The sequence below is a fragment of the Homo sapiens genome, chromosome 1 (genome assembly GCF_000001405.40).
Source record: "Homo sapiens chromosome 1, GRCh38.p14 Primary Assembly".
In the NCBI taxonomy this organism is placed as follows: Eukaryota; Metazoa; Chordata; class Mammalia; order Primates; family Hominidae; genus Homo; species Homo sapiens.
Window position 1 is genome coordinate 52332047 of NC_000001.11, and position 17189 is coordinate 52349235.

Consider the following 17189-nt stretch of genomic DNA (forward strand, 5'->3'; position numbering starts at 1 on the left):
TGGGATTATAGGCATGAGCCACCGTGCCTGGCCCCAAACTCTTTATAGAAATAAATAACAACAAATGATCATTAACCTGTTTCAGCCAAGGGTTGGAGTTTAACATCAAGGTGAGTTCTTACATATTACATGCAAAACAGTGGCCCATGAATTTTTTTTTTTTTGGATTAGGTCAGAATTATCATGTTAAATCTTTTGAGAAGAATAAAGCAAAATATTAGTAACTAATTTCATTGAAGATCTCAAACATAAGTTAGTAAAATTAAGAAACAATTTGAATTTCATATGTTTTTAGAGGGAAGTTCACTCCTTTGGAAGTTGAAAAAGAAAGCAGATGTACTTAAATATGGGACATTCTTTTGAACTTAGAATTTCAGATTATATATCCTCAGAGAATCCAGTATATAGGAGAAACTACAATTAGCTAAACTAATTTTAGCTACTTGAGTTCAATCAGCAATAAGACAAAAAGTGAATGCAAAATGTATCATGTGCTTATTAGGTCATAGTACAAATGGCTTATAAAATGTACAGGGAATTTTTGTGTACATTGATTTGTTAATGGTGACATTTTTTTACTTTGTTTCATTATTTGGTGGCCCTTTTTGTCACTTTAATACGTAATATTCTGTTAGTTTTGTTTTTGAGAAGATGGAGTTGCACCATGTCAGACAGAAAAATGCCCATTCTTGTCAGAATAAGGTTATCTCTTTGATTGCAGATGATGAAAGCCATGAACAAGTCCAATGAGCATGTCCTGGCAGGAGGTGCCTGCTTCAATGAAAAGGCAGACTCTCATCTTGTGTGTGTACAGAATGATGATGGAAACTATCAGACCCAGGCTATCAGTATTCACAATCAGCCCAGAAAAGGTGAGCATTTGAGCTGGTTGAGATTATGATAATGGAAAATTATACTGGACTTGGACAGTTAGATACCTCAGTCCCGTAACACTCACTTTCTAGATAGGTGACCACAAACAAATTAATTAACCTTTCCAACCATATTCTTCAGGATTATGTTGACTCCCCAAGTGGCCAGACTCAGAGTTGCAAATGGGATATGTGTTATTGAGGGAACAATTTTGAAAATATGCCCTTAGGAGGGAGGGATAGCATTAGGAGAAATACCTAATGTAAATGACGAGTTGATGGGTGCAGCAAAACTAACATGGCATGTGTATACGTATGTAACAAACCTGCATGTTGTGCACATGTACCCTAGAACTTAAAGTATAATAATTAAAAAAAAAAAAAAAAATATGCCCTTAGGATATTGACAAGGGCCAGCTCTGGCATTTGAAGGCACGACTAGGCCCCATAATGAGAGTATGTTTAGGTAAATTTGAAGCTTGTTGGATGACCATTCCCACAGAATGCTAATTAACTTGACAGGATTCTGAAGGAGGTTTCAGTGCTATTCAGAATGTGGTCTCCACACCCCAGATTCACTAATCAAAATTTGCATTTTAACGAGATCTCTGTGTGATTCAAGTGCACATTCGACTTTGAGAAGCATTGCTCAAGAGGCGTTACCCAAAGTGTTTTCTCAGGCACCATGGTGTTAAAAACTTCACATGAAAAAATAAGTCTTGTTTAATAGATTTAATCTAAGAAACCCCGTGTTAGGCCAGCCGCGGTGGCTCATGCCTGTAATCCCAGCACTTTGGGAGGCCAAGGCGAGAGCATCATTTGAGCTAAGGCGTTCAAGACAAGCCTGGGCAACATAGCAAGACCCTGTCTCTTAAAAAAAAAAAAAAAAAAGCAGGGCATGGTGGCTCACGCCTGTAATCCCAACACTTTGGGAGGCCGAGGTGGGTGGATCACCTAAGGTCAGGAGTTCAAGACCAGCCTGACCAACGTGGTGAAACTTCATCTTTACTAAAAATACAAAAAAGTTAGCGGGGCATGCTGGCACATGCCTGTAGTCCCAGCTACTCGGGAGGCTGAGGCAGGAGAATGGCGTGAACCCAGGAGGTGGAGCTTGCAGTGAGCAGAGATAGCACCGCTGCACGTCAGCCTGGGTGACAGAGCGAGACTCCGTCTCAAAAAAAAAAAAAAAAACTTAGCAGATAAAATAGTTGGCAACCATATTTCTATCTTCAGAATATATTTGATCTAAAAAAATCTGAAAATCAATGGATTAGATTGGGGGTGGCAAACTTTTTTTGTGAAGGGCCAAATGATAAATATTTTAGACTTTGCAAGCTGTGGTTTTTGTCAACAACTATTCGGCTCTAGTATTATAGTGCAAAAACTGCCATAGACAATAAGTAAATGAATGGACATGGCTGTGTTTCAATAAAATTTTATTTACAAAAGCAGGCTGGAGGCCAGGCAGGCTATAGCTTGCCAACCCCCTGACCTCAACCATTAAGATTCCTTTTCTTGTAAGATACTTGGATTCTTAATTAGAGGAAGAACAAAACAAAATGGGGGAGTGTATCTTAAAACCTAGTTCCCAAAGCTGTTGTAAGCATCAGAATTGTTGGTTACATGTTTATTGTGGAATATAGATTTGATTTTTTAAAATTTTCTGTGTGATGATGGTCGGAATTCTCAACTTCTGAATATTTTGTTATTATTTTCAATCCCTCCAGCTTAGGGTCTGTCTTACTAAACTATTTCTATTGCTGTTTTAGTGACTGGTGCCAGTTTCTTTGTGTTCAGTGGCGCTCTGAAATCCTCTTCTGGATACCTTGCCAAGTCCAGTATTGTGGAAGGTAAAGAATGAATTGTTCAGTCCTCATAATAAGGACTGAACTTATGTACATAAAGGGAATCCTTTACACTTCTGCTGTAGATGTCTGACTCCTACTGTTTTTTCAGTAGCATCTCTTCAGCAAATTAAAACTGCCATGAGAGTGCTTAGTTCTCTGAAGAAAGGAGTAAGTGGTAGGGATACCATGTGACAATGACATTAAAACTAGGAGATGGCCTTTCAGAGCTCTGGGATAAGGTACCTGAGGGCATGTAGTCTGAGTTCAAATATATCATTGGGTGGAAATATTAATATCTAAATGTGTAGATGAAAGTCCTGTCCACAAGAATGCTGTGGTCATCATTTGGAGTACAAAATGGCATGTGCTTGCTGCTAGTGTGCTATAATTAGACATGACACATATGTTGACAAAAGTTAATTAAACTAAAAGCTAATTGGCACACCGTTTATTTTCTTTGTTGGTTATTCATTGTGTTTTGATTTTGCTACTCTTATTTCATAACAGATGGCTTAAAACAACCATTTTATCATGCTTGCTTATCCTCTAGATCAGTAATCTTGACAGGGCAATGCAGGGATGGCTTAACACTGCTTCATGATGTTTGGAGTCTTAGTTGGGATCACTTGAAGTTATCTGATGACTGGGAGCTAGAATTATATGAAGGTTTGTTCACACACACGTCTGAGGCCTGGCCTGGGATGATTTAAAGACTAGGAGTGGTGACTGGGGTACTTACGTGGGGACTCCTTAACATGGCTTGATACCATTGGGATAGCTGGACTTTTTACATGGTGGTTCAGGACTCCAAACATGAATGTTCTAGCAAGAAGGTGGAAGCTGCATTGCCTTTTGTGACCCACCCTTTAAAGTTATATTGTGTCATTTCCACCATACTCTGGTGTTGGAAAAAGGGAGGGAAATTAGACTTCACTTCTACATGGGAGAATGGGAAGATAGCATTGTAGAAAAATGAGATGGGAGATATGACCATTTATGGAAAATGTAGTCTGCCTCACATGATGACAGGTTTTCATTTTTACAGTAGCTCACTCCAAAGCTCTGTGTAAAAACAGTCCTTTCTTAGGCCGGGTGCGGTGGCTCACGCCTGTAATCTCAGCACTTTGGGAGGCCGAGGGGGGCAGATCACTTGAGGTCAGGAGTTGGAGACCAGCCTGGCCGACATGGTGAAACCCCATCTCAACTAAAAATACAAAAAACAGCCAAGCGTGGTGGCGCATGCCTGTAATCCCAGCTACTTGGGAGGCTGAGGCAGGAGAATCACTTGAACCTGGGAAGCAGAGGTTGCAGTGAGCTGAGATTGTGCCATTGTACTCCAGCCTGGGCGACAGAGTGAGACTCTATCTTTAAAAAAAAAAAAGGTCCTTTCTTAGGGCTGGATTCCAGTGTGTTGATTGAAATACGTAGATAATCTTACATATATTTATAGATACTAGCTTTGGTCTTCTTTTGGTAAATTTAATAAAACAGTGAGTGAAACACAGAGTGCACTAATATTTTACAACTAAAATTTACAACTCTTGACTACAAAACAGAAACATGCCGTTAACAAATTGTTATGAAATCTAAGAGGTTTTTTTTGTTTTTTTTTTTTTTTTTTTAAGATGGAGGCTTGTAGCCCAGGCTGGAGTACAGTGGCACAATCTTGGCTCACTGCAACTTCTACCTCAAGTGATTCTCCTGCCTCAGTCTCCTGAGTAGCTGAAATTACAGTTGTGCGCCAACACGCCCAGCTAATTTTTTTGTATTTTTAGTAGAGATGGGGTTCCACCATGTTGGTCAGGCTGGTCTTGAACTCCTGACCTCAAATGATCCACCAGGCTCAGCCTCCCGAAGTGCTGGGATTACAGGTGTGAACCACCACACCCAGCTTAATTAATCTAGGAGTTAAACAGTCATTTGGTCTAAAGCAACTAGTTAAAGCCTATATGATGAAGTGTTGACTATAGTTGAAATTGTGACTTCACAAGGTGATTTTAAAACACCCCTTAAATGTTGTTAAATGATAAAATGAGCTGGGCATGGTGGCATACACCTATAGTACCAGCTACTTGGGAGGCTGAGGTGGGAGGACCCTGTGAGGCCAGGAGCTTGAGGCTGCAGTGCATTATGATCGTCCCTGTGAATAGTCACTGCGCTCCAACCTGGGCAGTCATCTCTTAAAAAAAAAAAAAAAAAAAAAAGATAAATTGACCTGACACAGATCCTTACCAATTCAAAGCAGTGTGTTTAAAAATTATGTGTTTATGTGTCTGGCTTGGGAATTTCTTGGGTCTTGCATTTCACTTGTGTGTTTCAGTGGAGCGATTGGCTGACTATGAAATTGTTATTGAGACTCTTTAGAAATTATTTCATTGTGTGTCAGTGAAGCAGAGTAATTGCTCAGCATGTGACAACTTTTACTGTCAATTTCAGTGTTTGCCTTCAACTCAGGTAGGTAGCAGCTGAAAAAGTTACCATCTGTTGGTTATCTGGTAGCCCATATGAAACTCTGTGGTAGGTTTGCCTTATTTGCTAGTCAATAAATGGATTTATCTCCAAGCCCACTACTATAATTTATTCAGTGATTTATTTAGCAAACATTTATTGGGCATTCACTGTATGCCAGGCAGTCATAGTAAGGTGAGAGAGATGGAGATGCAAACAAATGAATATGACCAGAGGATGATAAATGCAGGAGTGAAAACAGGAACAAAATATTCAGTGTGTCCAGAAGAAGAATGTGACTGTGTTTAAGTTTTCCCCTTAAGTAGTCTCAGGAGAAATTCTTAGTTGTGTCTGAAGTGAAATCAACAAGCATGTGTTTTAATCTTGGCATTGCTTCTCACAACACTTTCAGTAAGAGGTTCAGCTCAAAGAGCAAAACCTCTGTATCAGTCAGCTTTGGAAAGCAGAGCTAAGGTTTACATTTAACTCGGAGGAATTTGCTAGATGCCAGGTGCTGTGTTTCATTTGCCTCTCCTTTGGCTTTGTACTGATTCTTAGATGGTGTTATGGTCCAGATTACTGCAGAGAACATGGATTCCTTGAGGCAGGCACTGCGAGAGATGAAGGACTTCACCATCACCTGTGGGAAGGCGGACGCGGAGGAACCCCAGGAGCACATCCACATCCAGTGGGTGGATGATGACAAGAACGTTAGCAAGGGGTAAATGCAGCACATGTCCCCCTTTGTGGCTTTTAGTTATAGGTTAGGCTCTGGGTTTTGTCTGCTGTCTACATTGGTGTTTTATAGTTTTACTGAAAGCCCTGCCTAAGAGAAAGACTGCTTTGTATGCTTAACGTAGAATTTTAAATTTCTGGTTTTGTAAGTTAGTTTCTGAAGGAGTTTCTGTATGTATTTTTGAGGGAAGTATAAGTAGAGGGATTGATGAAACAAAAAAGTCCCTCTATAGTTATTGAGATAACAGTAATACCTGAGCCTTTTAAGATTTACAACACATTTTTGCCAACATTGTTTTGTTTGATACAATAACAGGTGTTAACATTTCCATTCTATAAATGAGTAAACAAGTACCAAAAGGCTAAGTGACTTTTCAGGTCTACAAAGCTAGGAAGTGATAAGACTAGCTCTGAAAACCACCTTCTTGGGCTTCAAACTCTGTATTCTTTCTCAGTGTTCGGCAACTCTATTCTAATGGTTCAAGCCAAAACCTTGGAGACATCTTTGACACTTTTCTTTCCCCCTCACCCCTTTCTTCCTCTCATACCCAGACATTCAGGGACAAGCTGGAAAACATTGCATTTATACATTACAAACTGAACTTTGTATCCTTTCTCAAAGGATTCTACACAACAAAGGGTGCTCTTTTTTTGTTTTGTTTTTAACATTGCTATTTGATGAATTAGAAATTAAACTTAAATTCAAGTAATTTTGACTAAATGAAGTGAATGCCTGATATGGAAGTTTAAGTTAGATTCGACTTTTAATACATAGAGATTTGGCCGGGTGTGGTGGCTCACGCCTGTAATCCCAGCACTTTGGGAGGCTGAGGCAGGTGGATCGCCTGAGGTTGGGAGTTCAAGACCAGCCTGACCAACATGGAAAAACCCCGTCTCTACTAAAAATACAAAATCAGCTGGGCGTGGTGGTACATGCCTGTAATCCCAGCTACTCAGGAGGCTGAGGCAGGAGACTCACTTGAATCGGGAGGCGGAGGTTTCGGTGAGCCGAGATCATGCCACTGCATTCCGGCCTGGACAACAAGAGCGAAACTCTGTCTCAAGAAAAAAAAAATAGAGATTCAAGAACATAAACAGGTTTGAAAATTGTTAGGGAAAGTTTAGAATCTGTGTGCCAATTATTTTGAATCCTAATCAGAATGAATGTGTATCTCCATGTATTTATACTTGTATTTCAGGGAGGAAATGACTATCAGAAGTGGCCTTTTTGTTTAGGAATCTAGGAGTGATAATTTAGCACTAAAGGGAAGGTGTTATGACAGATACATAGATACTTGTTTACACTAGCACTGTCATAATTAGCAACTTGGTCAAATAATTCCTTTTTTTTTTTTTGGAGACAGAGTCTTGCTCTGTAACCCAGGCTGGAGTACAGTGGTGCGATCGCAGCTCACTGCAACCTCCGCCTCCCAGGTTCAAGGTGATTCTCATGCCTCAGCCTGCCCAGTAGCTGGGATTACAGGCATGTACCACTATTGCCTGGCTAATTTTTTGTGTTTTTAGTAGAGGTAGGGTTTTGCTATGTTGCTGATGCTGGTCTCGAACTCCTGAGCTCAGACAGTCTACCCACCTCAGCCTCCCAAAGTGCTGGGATTACAGGCGTGAGCCACCATGCCCAGCAAATGATTCTTAATAAATATTTATTAGACTCCTAAGTTCCAAGCAGTGGGTCAGTAATGGGAATATAAGCACATAGAGGGGAATATATCATATTCCCTCCCCTTCAGAAGTTCATTTGTAAGTCAGGTATGCAAACATGAAGAATATATCATGACAAGTATCATTACAGAGTCAGGAGCAGAGTGAAAACAAGATTGAGTGGGTGACCATGCATTCACTGAAAGAAGGGATACTGGAAGAAGAGCAGGTTTGATTAATCAATTTCTTTACGTTAAAGAGAACTAGCTCCTGGAAAAATGATTCCTTTTTTGCATGTGTGTTCTTTGAACTATTTCAGTGCATAGATTCTTTCCCAAGAGCTCAGTTCATGTACATTTTTATACAGTGGCTGCTTCTTGCTATGATGTGCTGCACAGGTGTGTTCAGCAGGGTACCCAGTGTAATTAGCAGGAAGACTTCTGCAGCAAAACGTGATAGGAAAAATGGCTTTTCTAACTTCAAGAGCTGCTTCTATCTTTCCTTTGCCTCTATTTTAGTGTCGTAAGTCCTATAGATGGGAAGTCCATGGAGACTATAACAAATGTGAAGATATTCCATGGATCAGAATATAAAGCAAATGGAAAAGTAATCAGATGGACAGAGGTAAGGAAATGAAACTTGGCATACTTGACCCACTTTGAGCACAACTTTTTGCTAGGCCAAGAGCCACATTCTGGGTTGACTTTGTAGGATAAGAAAAAAATATCTCTGAGAAAAATCTTTCTCGTTTATACTACAATTCCTATCTGAAATCACCAGGAAGAAATGCTGCCAGTTGCAGCCTGCACCTGTCTGATGTATCCTCCTTCCTGTGAACTAACTTTTAGATATTTCTTTGCATTGGAACTCCAGAAGAGTAGATCTCTGAGTGGTACATTCCATCTTTGCTGTATTCTTCAGAAAGCTGGGTCAGTTATTCTGTACTTATAAACTATTTTAGATAACATGACGGTCTTTAAAAAATACTTATTTCACTAATAAGAAAACTAGGCCAGGCACAGTGGCTTACACCTGTAATCCCAGCATTTTGGGAGGCTGAGGTGGGTGGATCACTTGAGGTCAGGAATTCAAGACCAGCCTGGGTAACATGGTGAAACCCCATACCCACTAAAAATACAAAAATTAGCCGAGGCATGGTGGTGCACACCTGTAGTCCCAGCTGCCTGAGAGGCTGAGGCATGGGAATCACTTGAACCCGGGAGGCAGAGGTTACAGTGAGCCGAGATCACGCCACTGCACTCCATCCAGCCTAGGCAACAGAGCAAGACTCCGTCTCAAAAAAAAAAAAAAAAAAAAAAAAAAAAACTAGGCCGGGTGTGGTGGCTCACGCCTGTAATCCCAGCACTTTGAGGGAGACCAAGGTGAGCAGATCACCTGAGGTCTGGAGTTTGAGACCAGCCCTACCAACATGGAGAAACCCCGTCTCTACTAAAAATACAAAATTAGCCGGGCATGGTGGTGCATGCCTGTAATCCCAGCTACTCAGGAGGCTGAGGTGGGAGAATCGCTTGAACCTGGGTGGTGGAGGTTGTGGTGAGCCGAGATTGTGCCATTGCACGCCAGCCTGGGCAACAAGAGCGAAACTCCGTCTCCAAAAACAAACAAACAAAACTAAAGCTCAGAGACTAATTAACTTGCTCAAGATTACAAGGCAAATAAATAATGATAAAATCCTGATTAAAACCCAGATCTGGCCAACTCCTAAGCTCTTTCCCACTGTATTAATTTGCTCCTTAACTTGAAAGCTGTATTAGAGGCTCACCTGGGAATGAGAGGAGCAGGGCAGTGACCCTTTTTTGTATGTACATGTCATATAGATCAGAAAGTTTATTCTCTTCATCCCCAAGAGGTCTGAGAAAAAATAAAATACGAAAAAAATTTTAAAAGTTCTCGTAAGCTGGTAGATCTTAGATCCCTTTATTACTTTTGAACCTCATGTATGCTCATTTGTAAAGGATTAAATTATAAGATCTCTAGGATTCTTTTCAGCTTTGAAACTCTTATGTTTTTTTAAAAAAATTCTACGACTTCTGGCTTTTCCATTTCACACAAAAGGAAACAGAGACCCAGGGTTGTTAAATCTCTTACTCAAATTCATATGGCTAGTTCCTGATAGCAGAGATGAGACCTGGTTCTCCAGTTCTGAGCAGTAGTCCTAAGGGACTCATCCTGCATAACAGGCTCCATGATTTCATATGCAGCCAAGGGATTTTAGTTGCTTGCTATGTAATGATTCGTCCCTTTGACACATTTTGAGCAGTGCAGAGTCTGGAACGTGTAAAACACTTTATGGCTTATAAAGCAGTTTGACCTCTGTTCCCTCCTTTTTGCTCCCCAGTAGCAGTGAGGTAGGCAAGCTACCCATCCTAAGATGCAGATGAGAAGACAGGCTCAAACAGGTCATGTGACTGTAACTTTGTGACTGATGTTGGTTAATGGCAGAGCAGGGGCCAGCGCTCAGGTCTCCTGACTCCCACTCGGTCATTTCATGCCACCACTCTCCAGTGCATCCAGGTACGGGGCTTCGGAGCTGCCTCCTTTGTAGTCCTCTCAGTGTAAGTTCCTTATGGAGCAGTAAGCTAGGGGTTGCTATATAGAAACATCGTGTATTTGCATTTCTGTGTCTTTTATATTTTGCCTTTTTTTTTTTTTTTTGAGACAGAGTCTCGCTCTGTCGCCCAGACGGCAGTGCAGTGGCGCAATCTCGGCTCACTGCAAGCTCCGCCTCCCGGGTACACACCATTCTCCTGCCTCAGCCTCCTGAGTAGCTGGGATTACAGGCGCCCGCTACCACGCCCGACTAATTTTTTTTTTTGTATTTTTAGTAGAGATGAGGTTTCACCGTGTTAGCCAGGATGGTCTCGATCTCCTGACCTCGCAATCCGCCCGTCTTGGCCTCCCAAAGTGCCTTTTTTTTTTTTTTTGAGACGGAGTCTCGCTCTTGTCACCCAGGCTGGATTGCAATGGTGCAATCTCGGCTGACTGCAACCTCTGCCTCCTGGGTTCAGGCGATTCTCCTGCCTCAGCTTTCTGAGTAGCTGGGACTACAGGCATGTGCCACTACACCCAGCTAACTTTTGTATTTTTAGTAGACAGGGTTTCACCATGTTGGCCAGGCTGGTCTCAAACTCCTGACCTTGTGATCTGCCCGCCTCGGCCTCCCAAAGTACTGGGATTACAGGTGTGAGCCACCGCACCCGGCCTTATATTTTGCCTTTATATAGTTTTATCTTTACAATAACCAGAGAAGTCAGGTGCTTTCCACTTTACAGAGGCAAATTAATTTTTTTTTTTTTGAGACGGAGTCTCACTCTGTCACCCAGGCTGGAGTGCAGTGGTGTGATCTTGGCTCACTGCAAGCTCCACCTCCCAGGTCCACGCCATTCTCCTGCCTCAGCCTCCTGAGCAGCTGGGACCATAGGCACCTGCCACCACGCCCGGCTAATTTTTTTTGTTTTTTGTTTTTTGTATTTTTAGTAGAGACGGGGTTTCACCGTGTTAGCCAGGATGATCTTGATCTCCTGACCTTGTGATCCACCCTCCTTGGCCTCCCAAAGTGCTGGGATTACAGGCATGAGCCACCGTGCCCGGCCGAGACAAATTAATTATTAAGAAGTCCTCAGCCTGGCCAGCATGGTGAAACCCCATCTCTACTAAAAATACAAAAATTAGTCTGGCTTGGTGGCAGGCTCCTGTAATCCTAGCTACTTGGGAAGCTGAGGCAGGAGAATCGCTTGAACCTGGGAGGTGGAGGCTGCAGTGAGCCGAGATCGTGCCATTGCACTCCAGCCTGGGCAATAGAGCGAGACTCCATCTCAAAAAAAAAGAAAAAAAGAAGTCCTTTGGGCCGGGTGCGGTGGCTCACACCTGTAATCGTAGCACTTTGGGAGGCTGAGGCAGGAGGATCACCTAAGGTCAGGAGTTCAAGGCCAACCTGGCCAACATGGTGAAACCCCGTCTCTACTAAAAATATAAAAATTAGCCAGGTGTGGTGGTGCACACTTGTAGTCCCAGTTACTTGGGAGGCTAAGGCAAGAGAATTGCTGGAACCCAGGAGGTGGAGGTTGCACTGAACTGAGATCGCACCACCGCACTCCAGCCTGGGCGGTGGGCAACAGAGTTGAGACTCCATCTCAAAAAAAAAATAAAGTAAGTCCTTTGGGCCAGGTGCGGTGGTTCATGCCTGTAATCCCAGCTCTTTGGGAGGCCGAGGTGGACAGATCACCTGAGGTCAGGAGTTCAAGACCAGCCTGGCCAACATGGTGAAACCCCATCTCTACTAAAAATACAAAAATTAGCCAGGCATGGCGGCACATGCCTGTAATCCCAGCTACTCAGGAGGCTGAAGCAGGAGAATCACTTGAACCTAAGAGGCAAAGGTTGCAGTGGGCAGAGGTCATGCCACTGCACTCCAGCCTGGTGACAGAGTGAGACTTTGTTTCCAAAAAAAAAAAAAAAAAGTCCTTTAACTTCCTTTAGTCCTCTAACGGACTTGCTCATGACCCTTCCTCTATGGTGCTAGGACTTAGGTCATCAGTTCCAAGTGTGTTCCACTTCTGCCTGTGCACAGTGCTGACACAGTTCCCGCCTCTATAGTGGCAGGGCTGTGTGGTGGAAAAAGCTCTGCAATAAAAGGCTCAGATGCCAGGCTCAGCCTGGCTCTTCCTCTGTCTCTTAAATTCTTCTGTGCCCTTGAGCCAGTCAATTCCCTTCTAAGACTAATTGTAAAATAAAGCAGCTGGGTCACGTCAGCTATAAGAGCCATTCTCTTAGACTTAAGATCATTTTCTAGGTAAATTGTCCACATACAGGGATTACCTTTTAGTGGCATACAATGCAAAATGGAGGCCTTTTCTAGTTCTGAGAAGAATGTGCCATTGCAACCATGGAGGCTTGCAGGGAGTTAGGCAGGCTGCTGCTGTCATTTTGTGGATGCAGAGATGGAGAGACAGGGATTGTTTTTTTTTTAGGTGGAAGACAAATGCCCAACTTTTCCTGGACCAGGGACTTTATGGTGTCCTGTTCCTGTCATGTCTTCTTGCACATCTTGGAGAATCAGGGTGCTCATATACAGTGAGCTAATCTACTTCTCCCAAAATCTAGGCACAAGTTTAAAAGTCTCTTTTGTTTGGGGAACAGGTGTTTTTCCTAGAAAACGATGACCAGCACAATTGCCTCAGTGATCCTGCAGATCACAGTAGATTGACTGAGCATGTTGCCAAAGCTTTTTGCCTTGCTCTCTGTCCTCACCTGAAACTTCTGAAGGAAGATGGAATGACCAAACTGGGACTACGTGTGACACTTGACTCAGATCAGGTATGATGTGTCTTCCGCAGCTTTTAAAGCTGGCCTTGGGCAACGTCTGTATTTCTGACGTGAGTTTTTCTGCATCACCCCAGAGAGCTTAATTCTCCGACCTTCTGGCCTGACTGGATATAGTGTTTTTGGCCCTCTCTTTAATAGTACTATACCCACATGTGATGCTTGGTCAGATTCTCTCAGAACCATTTGAACTGTGGCTTCTTCACCTGCATGCCTTCCAAGGAGCTGGTTTCCTTCTTAGTGTGGGGTAAAGAGGGGAGCATGTGGTAGGACCTGCCAGGTCCTGCCTTGATGTTTACAAATTGCCAGACCTCTCTGTTCCCTCAACCCTTTAGCTCCGAGTCACTTGGAACTTGGGTGTAGGCTCAGCTTGATCCCCCTTCCCCACTGAGTGAGTGTTAATTCTGCCCAGCAAGCTGCTTCTGGCCTGAGTGCTTATGAGGAGAAACTGGTTCCTGATCACAGGGTTGTGCCATTATCAGGGAATGATGAAAGGTTCTGTGTCTGGCCCCAGTTCCTGACTAGTCATCAATCAACAAATATTTATTTTCTGCTTAACGGCTTGCCCAATGCTATACTAATGAAGTATTCTGGTCCTATCTCACATAAAACAAAGAACAAGCATTTTTCTGCTAAATATGTGAGCCTCTTGAGGGCAGGGCCCTGTTACATTCATCTTTGGATCCCTGCATTTGTAGTTGCTCAGAATGGTGCATGGATGAACAGATGGATGCAAGAACAAATATTCAGTTCCTACTAGGTTAGGGAGCTGTACATTGTGTATTTCTCATTTTAATTTTCACAACCAAAGATTAAGGTATTATTTCTGATACTCCATACCTTTTTACACACCTCTACCCTTCCCCAGAAAACTAAGACCATAACAGGTTAAGTGGCTTACCCAGTGCCTCATGGTTGTCAAGTGGTCAGGAGGAGTAAACAACAGGATAAGTGATCACCCAGAAAAGAGGATAAATTTGTATTCACTGCCATATGTTTAGCCTATGGCCAAAAAGGACATCTCCTTTCCTGCTCAGCCTCCTTGCCCTCAGCCCTGGAGAGGCCTTCTCTGTTCAGTAACCTCTCCTCCTTTTCTCTCTGTGGTATAGGTTGGCTATCAAGCAGGGAGCAATGGCCAGCCCCTTCCCTCGCAGTACATGAATGATCTGGACAGCGCCTTGGTGCCGGTGATCCATGGAGGGGCCTGCCAGCTTAGTGAGGGCCCCGTTGTCATGGAACTCATCTTTTATATTCTGGAAAACATCGTATAAACAGAGAAGACTTCATTTTTTTCTGTTCAGACTTGTTGCAACAGCAGTCATACCCAAATCATTTGCACTTTAAAACTGGAAGATTAAGCTTTTGTTAACACTATTAATGGGGTGGGGAATAGGGTGGGAGTGGGGGTTTGGGAGACGGGTGGGAAAGGGTGGTTGGGGGGACCGATGTTCCATAATTCTAAGTCTTCTATGCATTGTCCACCAAGAAGATCTGGGCAGCTTCTGTTCCTGCACAACAGTTATGCTATCCTTGCAGCTAATCCCCTTCTGTTACTGTTTAGACAAGAATTCCGCTCCTCTCTCAAGATTTACTTATGGTCATGTGCTCAGAAATGCTCAAATGGGTACAACCATCACCAAGGGTGGGATGGGAGGGCAGAGGGGAAATAAAATATAAAGCATCAGTTCTTGCACTCTTTGTACAGAATTGGTATAAAAAGGATAATTCCACACTGATCTTGTCCCAGTTACATCACAGCTGTTTATCAAGTAGAAGTCACACTTAGATTTTTGTTTTTACCAGATTATTCATTGAAGTGAATCGAAGACTCAAGGGCTTAATCTACTCTTCCAGTTTCGGAAGGGCAACTCAGTGTAAATGTCATGTGGAGAGCAGAGGTGAGTTCAGGATTGCTGGAGATCTGCCCGTGTGGATGGCAGGTATTCAACTGGGTATTTCTGTGAATGCTGATGGAATACACCCAGGACATTTTTAGTTATAAATACTGGAGGAATTTAAAAATACATTTTATTGAGAAATAATTTAAACTTCTAGGAAGTTGAAAGTACAAAAAACCCCACGCACACTTTACCCAGATTCCCCTCTTGTTCACTTATTAACATTTTGTCCCATTTGATTTGTCAGGGTTTCTCTCTCCCTTTCTCCTTCTCCATAAAAAATTGAGGCATTTGAGAGTAAATTGCGTACATCATAGGCCTTTCCTCCTAAATGCTTATTTCCTAAAAATAAGGATATTCTCTTACACAACTGTAGGACAGTTCTCTACTTCAGTCAAACATGGATTTGATACTTTAACCTGGCATCTGCCCAGTGATGTTCTTTGTAGCATTTTTTCCCTCCAGTAAACCTTCCAGTATAGAATCAGACATGGCTATGGCTGTCATGACTCATCTTGATCTTTTATGTCATTGATATGTATTTTTTTTGAGACGGAGTCTCGCTCTGTCACCCAGGCTGGAGTGCAGTGGTGCAATCTCGGCTCACTGCAATCTCCGCCTCCCAGGTTGAAGCGATTCTCCTGCTTCAGCCTCCGGAGTAGCTGGGATTACAGACGCCCGCCACCACCCCCAGATAATTTTTTTGTATTTTTAGTAGAGACAGGGTTTCACCATGTTGGCCAGGCCTGAGCTCAAGTGATCCGCCATCCTCTGCCTCCCAACTCCTGATCTCAAGTGATCCGCCATCCTCTGCCTCCCAAACTGCTAGGATTACAGGTGTGAGCCACCGCACTCAGCCTCATTGATATTTTTGGTGAATGTAGCCACCCCCAACCCCACCCTGTTTTTTTTTTTTTAACAGAAAACAACTCAGTTTGATATTTCCTCATATTTAGAATCAGTTTATGTGTTTTTGCCCATAATGACTTGATATCCATCTGCCCCCTCATTGATAGTGGTAAATTTTGATCACTTGGTCAAGGTGTCCAACTTCTCTGTATATCCCCCTACCTGGAACTTATAACCAGTATATGTAGACTTTCAGACCATGCAAATCTCTTGCCTATGAAAGTGTCCCGTTAAATTAGCATGCATTGATGTTTCTTACCTGCACTGATCTTTTACTATGTTTGCAAAATGATTTTCCAATTCTAGCGCATTCTCCAGCTTTACAGGTTGCACTTGGTAATCTACTATAAGCAGAAGCCCTTCCTTCCCAATTTATTCATTTAATTTTCATTATACACTCATGGACTGTTGTTTTGCTTTGTTTTGTTTTGAAACAGTGTCTCACTCTGTCACCCATGCTGGAGTGCAGTGGCACAATCTTAGCTCACTGCAGCCTCAAACTTCTGGGCTCAAGCAAACCCCCCACCTTGGCCTCCCAAAGTGCTGGGATTACAGGCATGAGCCACCAAGCCTGGCCTTTTTCAGTGGTTCCAATTCATTATTTTGGTGCACAAATGGTCTCAGCTTTAGCTAGACAAGAGACCCTTCAAGCTGGCTCCTACATCCTGGTGATATGCTATTTTTTTTTTTTTTTTTTTTGAGTACTTCTTTTTTATTTCTATCCTAACAAGATGCTTCAGGCTTATCTTGTGCTTATCCTGCCCTAGCCCTGGAATCAGCTATTTCTGCAAGGAGCCCTGGCTTCTTTTAATGGGAGTGGTATTAGAAACCAAAATCTGGTTTATCCATGATATGTGTGATGCACTCTGACCTTTTTCTGTTTCATTAAAAATTTATTTTGATCTTAGACCAAATGGATTCCACAATGCACATTTTGAAAATACTGCTTTAGGGCAATGTACTCCATTGTCACTGGCATCTTCTGAAAGCCAAGGCTAAACTAGTTTTTCTGCAGTATTAGTACAGCTCCAAGAATTCCCTGGAAGCTAGCGCAGGCCTGTGGGACAGCGACAGGCTGCTCCCCAGTGGCTAGTGCTGGGTTTAGCACGAGGCAACAGCAGGCTGTGGAGCTGTGTTTGCGGCAGCAGCTGTTTTCCAGAGGCCTAAAGGCCTGGCCTGGGAAACATCTGGGTAGGTTCATCCTGCTCTCTGAGGTGGGAGCTTATAGTCGACATCTGCCTCTCCAAAGGTTTTACCGACGGTGGTTGCACAGAACTCTTACTGTGACCTTTCCCACAGGCTCAGAGGTACTCAGAGCTTCTAAGGGGAAGCTTGGCCCACAGAGCAGCAGCTTGTCAGGACCGAGCCCTGGTAACCACTACCTCCAAACCTGACAAGAACAGGAAGCACTTGTTAACAGGGGCAGCTTATTTTTGGTCTAATAGCCAGCTTTGTCTGAACATACCTCAAAAGTCTGG

At 42.9% G+C, this 17189-nt stretch overlaps 1 protein-coding gene across 4 annotated transcripts in view; it reads left to right on the forward strand.

Moving 5' to 3' along the window:
- Window positions 1–14588, forward strand: part of ZFYVE9 (zinc finger FYVE-type containing 9) — a 204546-nt gene extending 189958 nt beyond the window's left edge. For all 4 annotated transcript variants that reach the window (NM_004799.4, NM_007324.5, XM_047434674.1 and 1 more), the window contains 6 exons: window positions 722–872; window positions 2642–2722; window positions 5726–5888; window positions 8080–8185; window positions 12722–12898; window positions 14014–14588. In NM_004799.4, coding sequence (NP_004790.2) covers window positions 722–872; window positions 2642–2722; window positions 5726–5888; window positions 8080–8185; window positions 12722–12898; window positions 14014–14175 — 840 coding nt within the window. In that variant the 3' untranslated portion in view covers window positions 14176–14588. The remainder of the gene's footprint in view (window positions 1–721; window positions 873–2641; window positions 2723–5725; window positions 5889–8079; window positions 8186–12721; window positions 12899–14013) is intronic.
- The last annotated feature ends 2601 nt before the right edge of the window (window positions 14589–17189 follow it).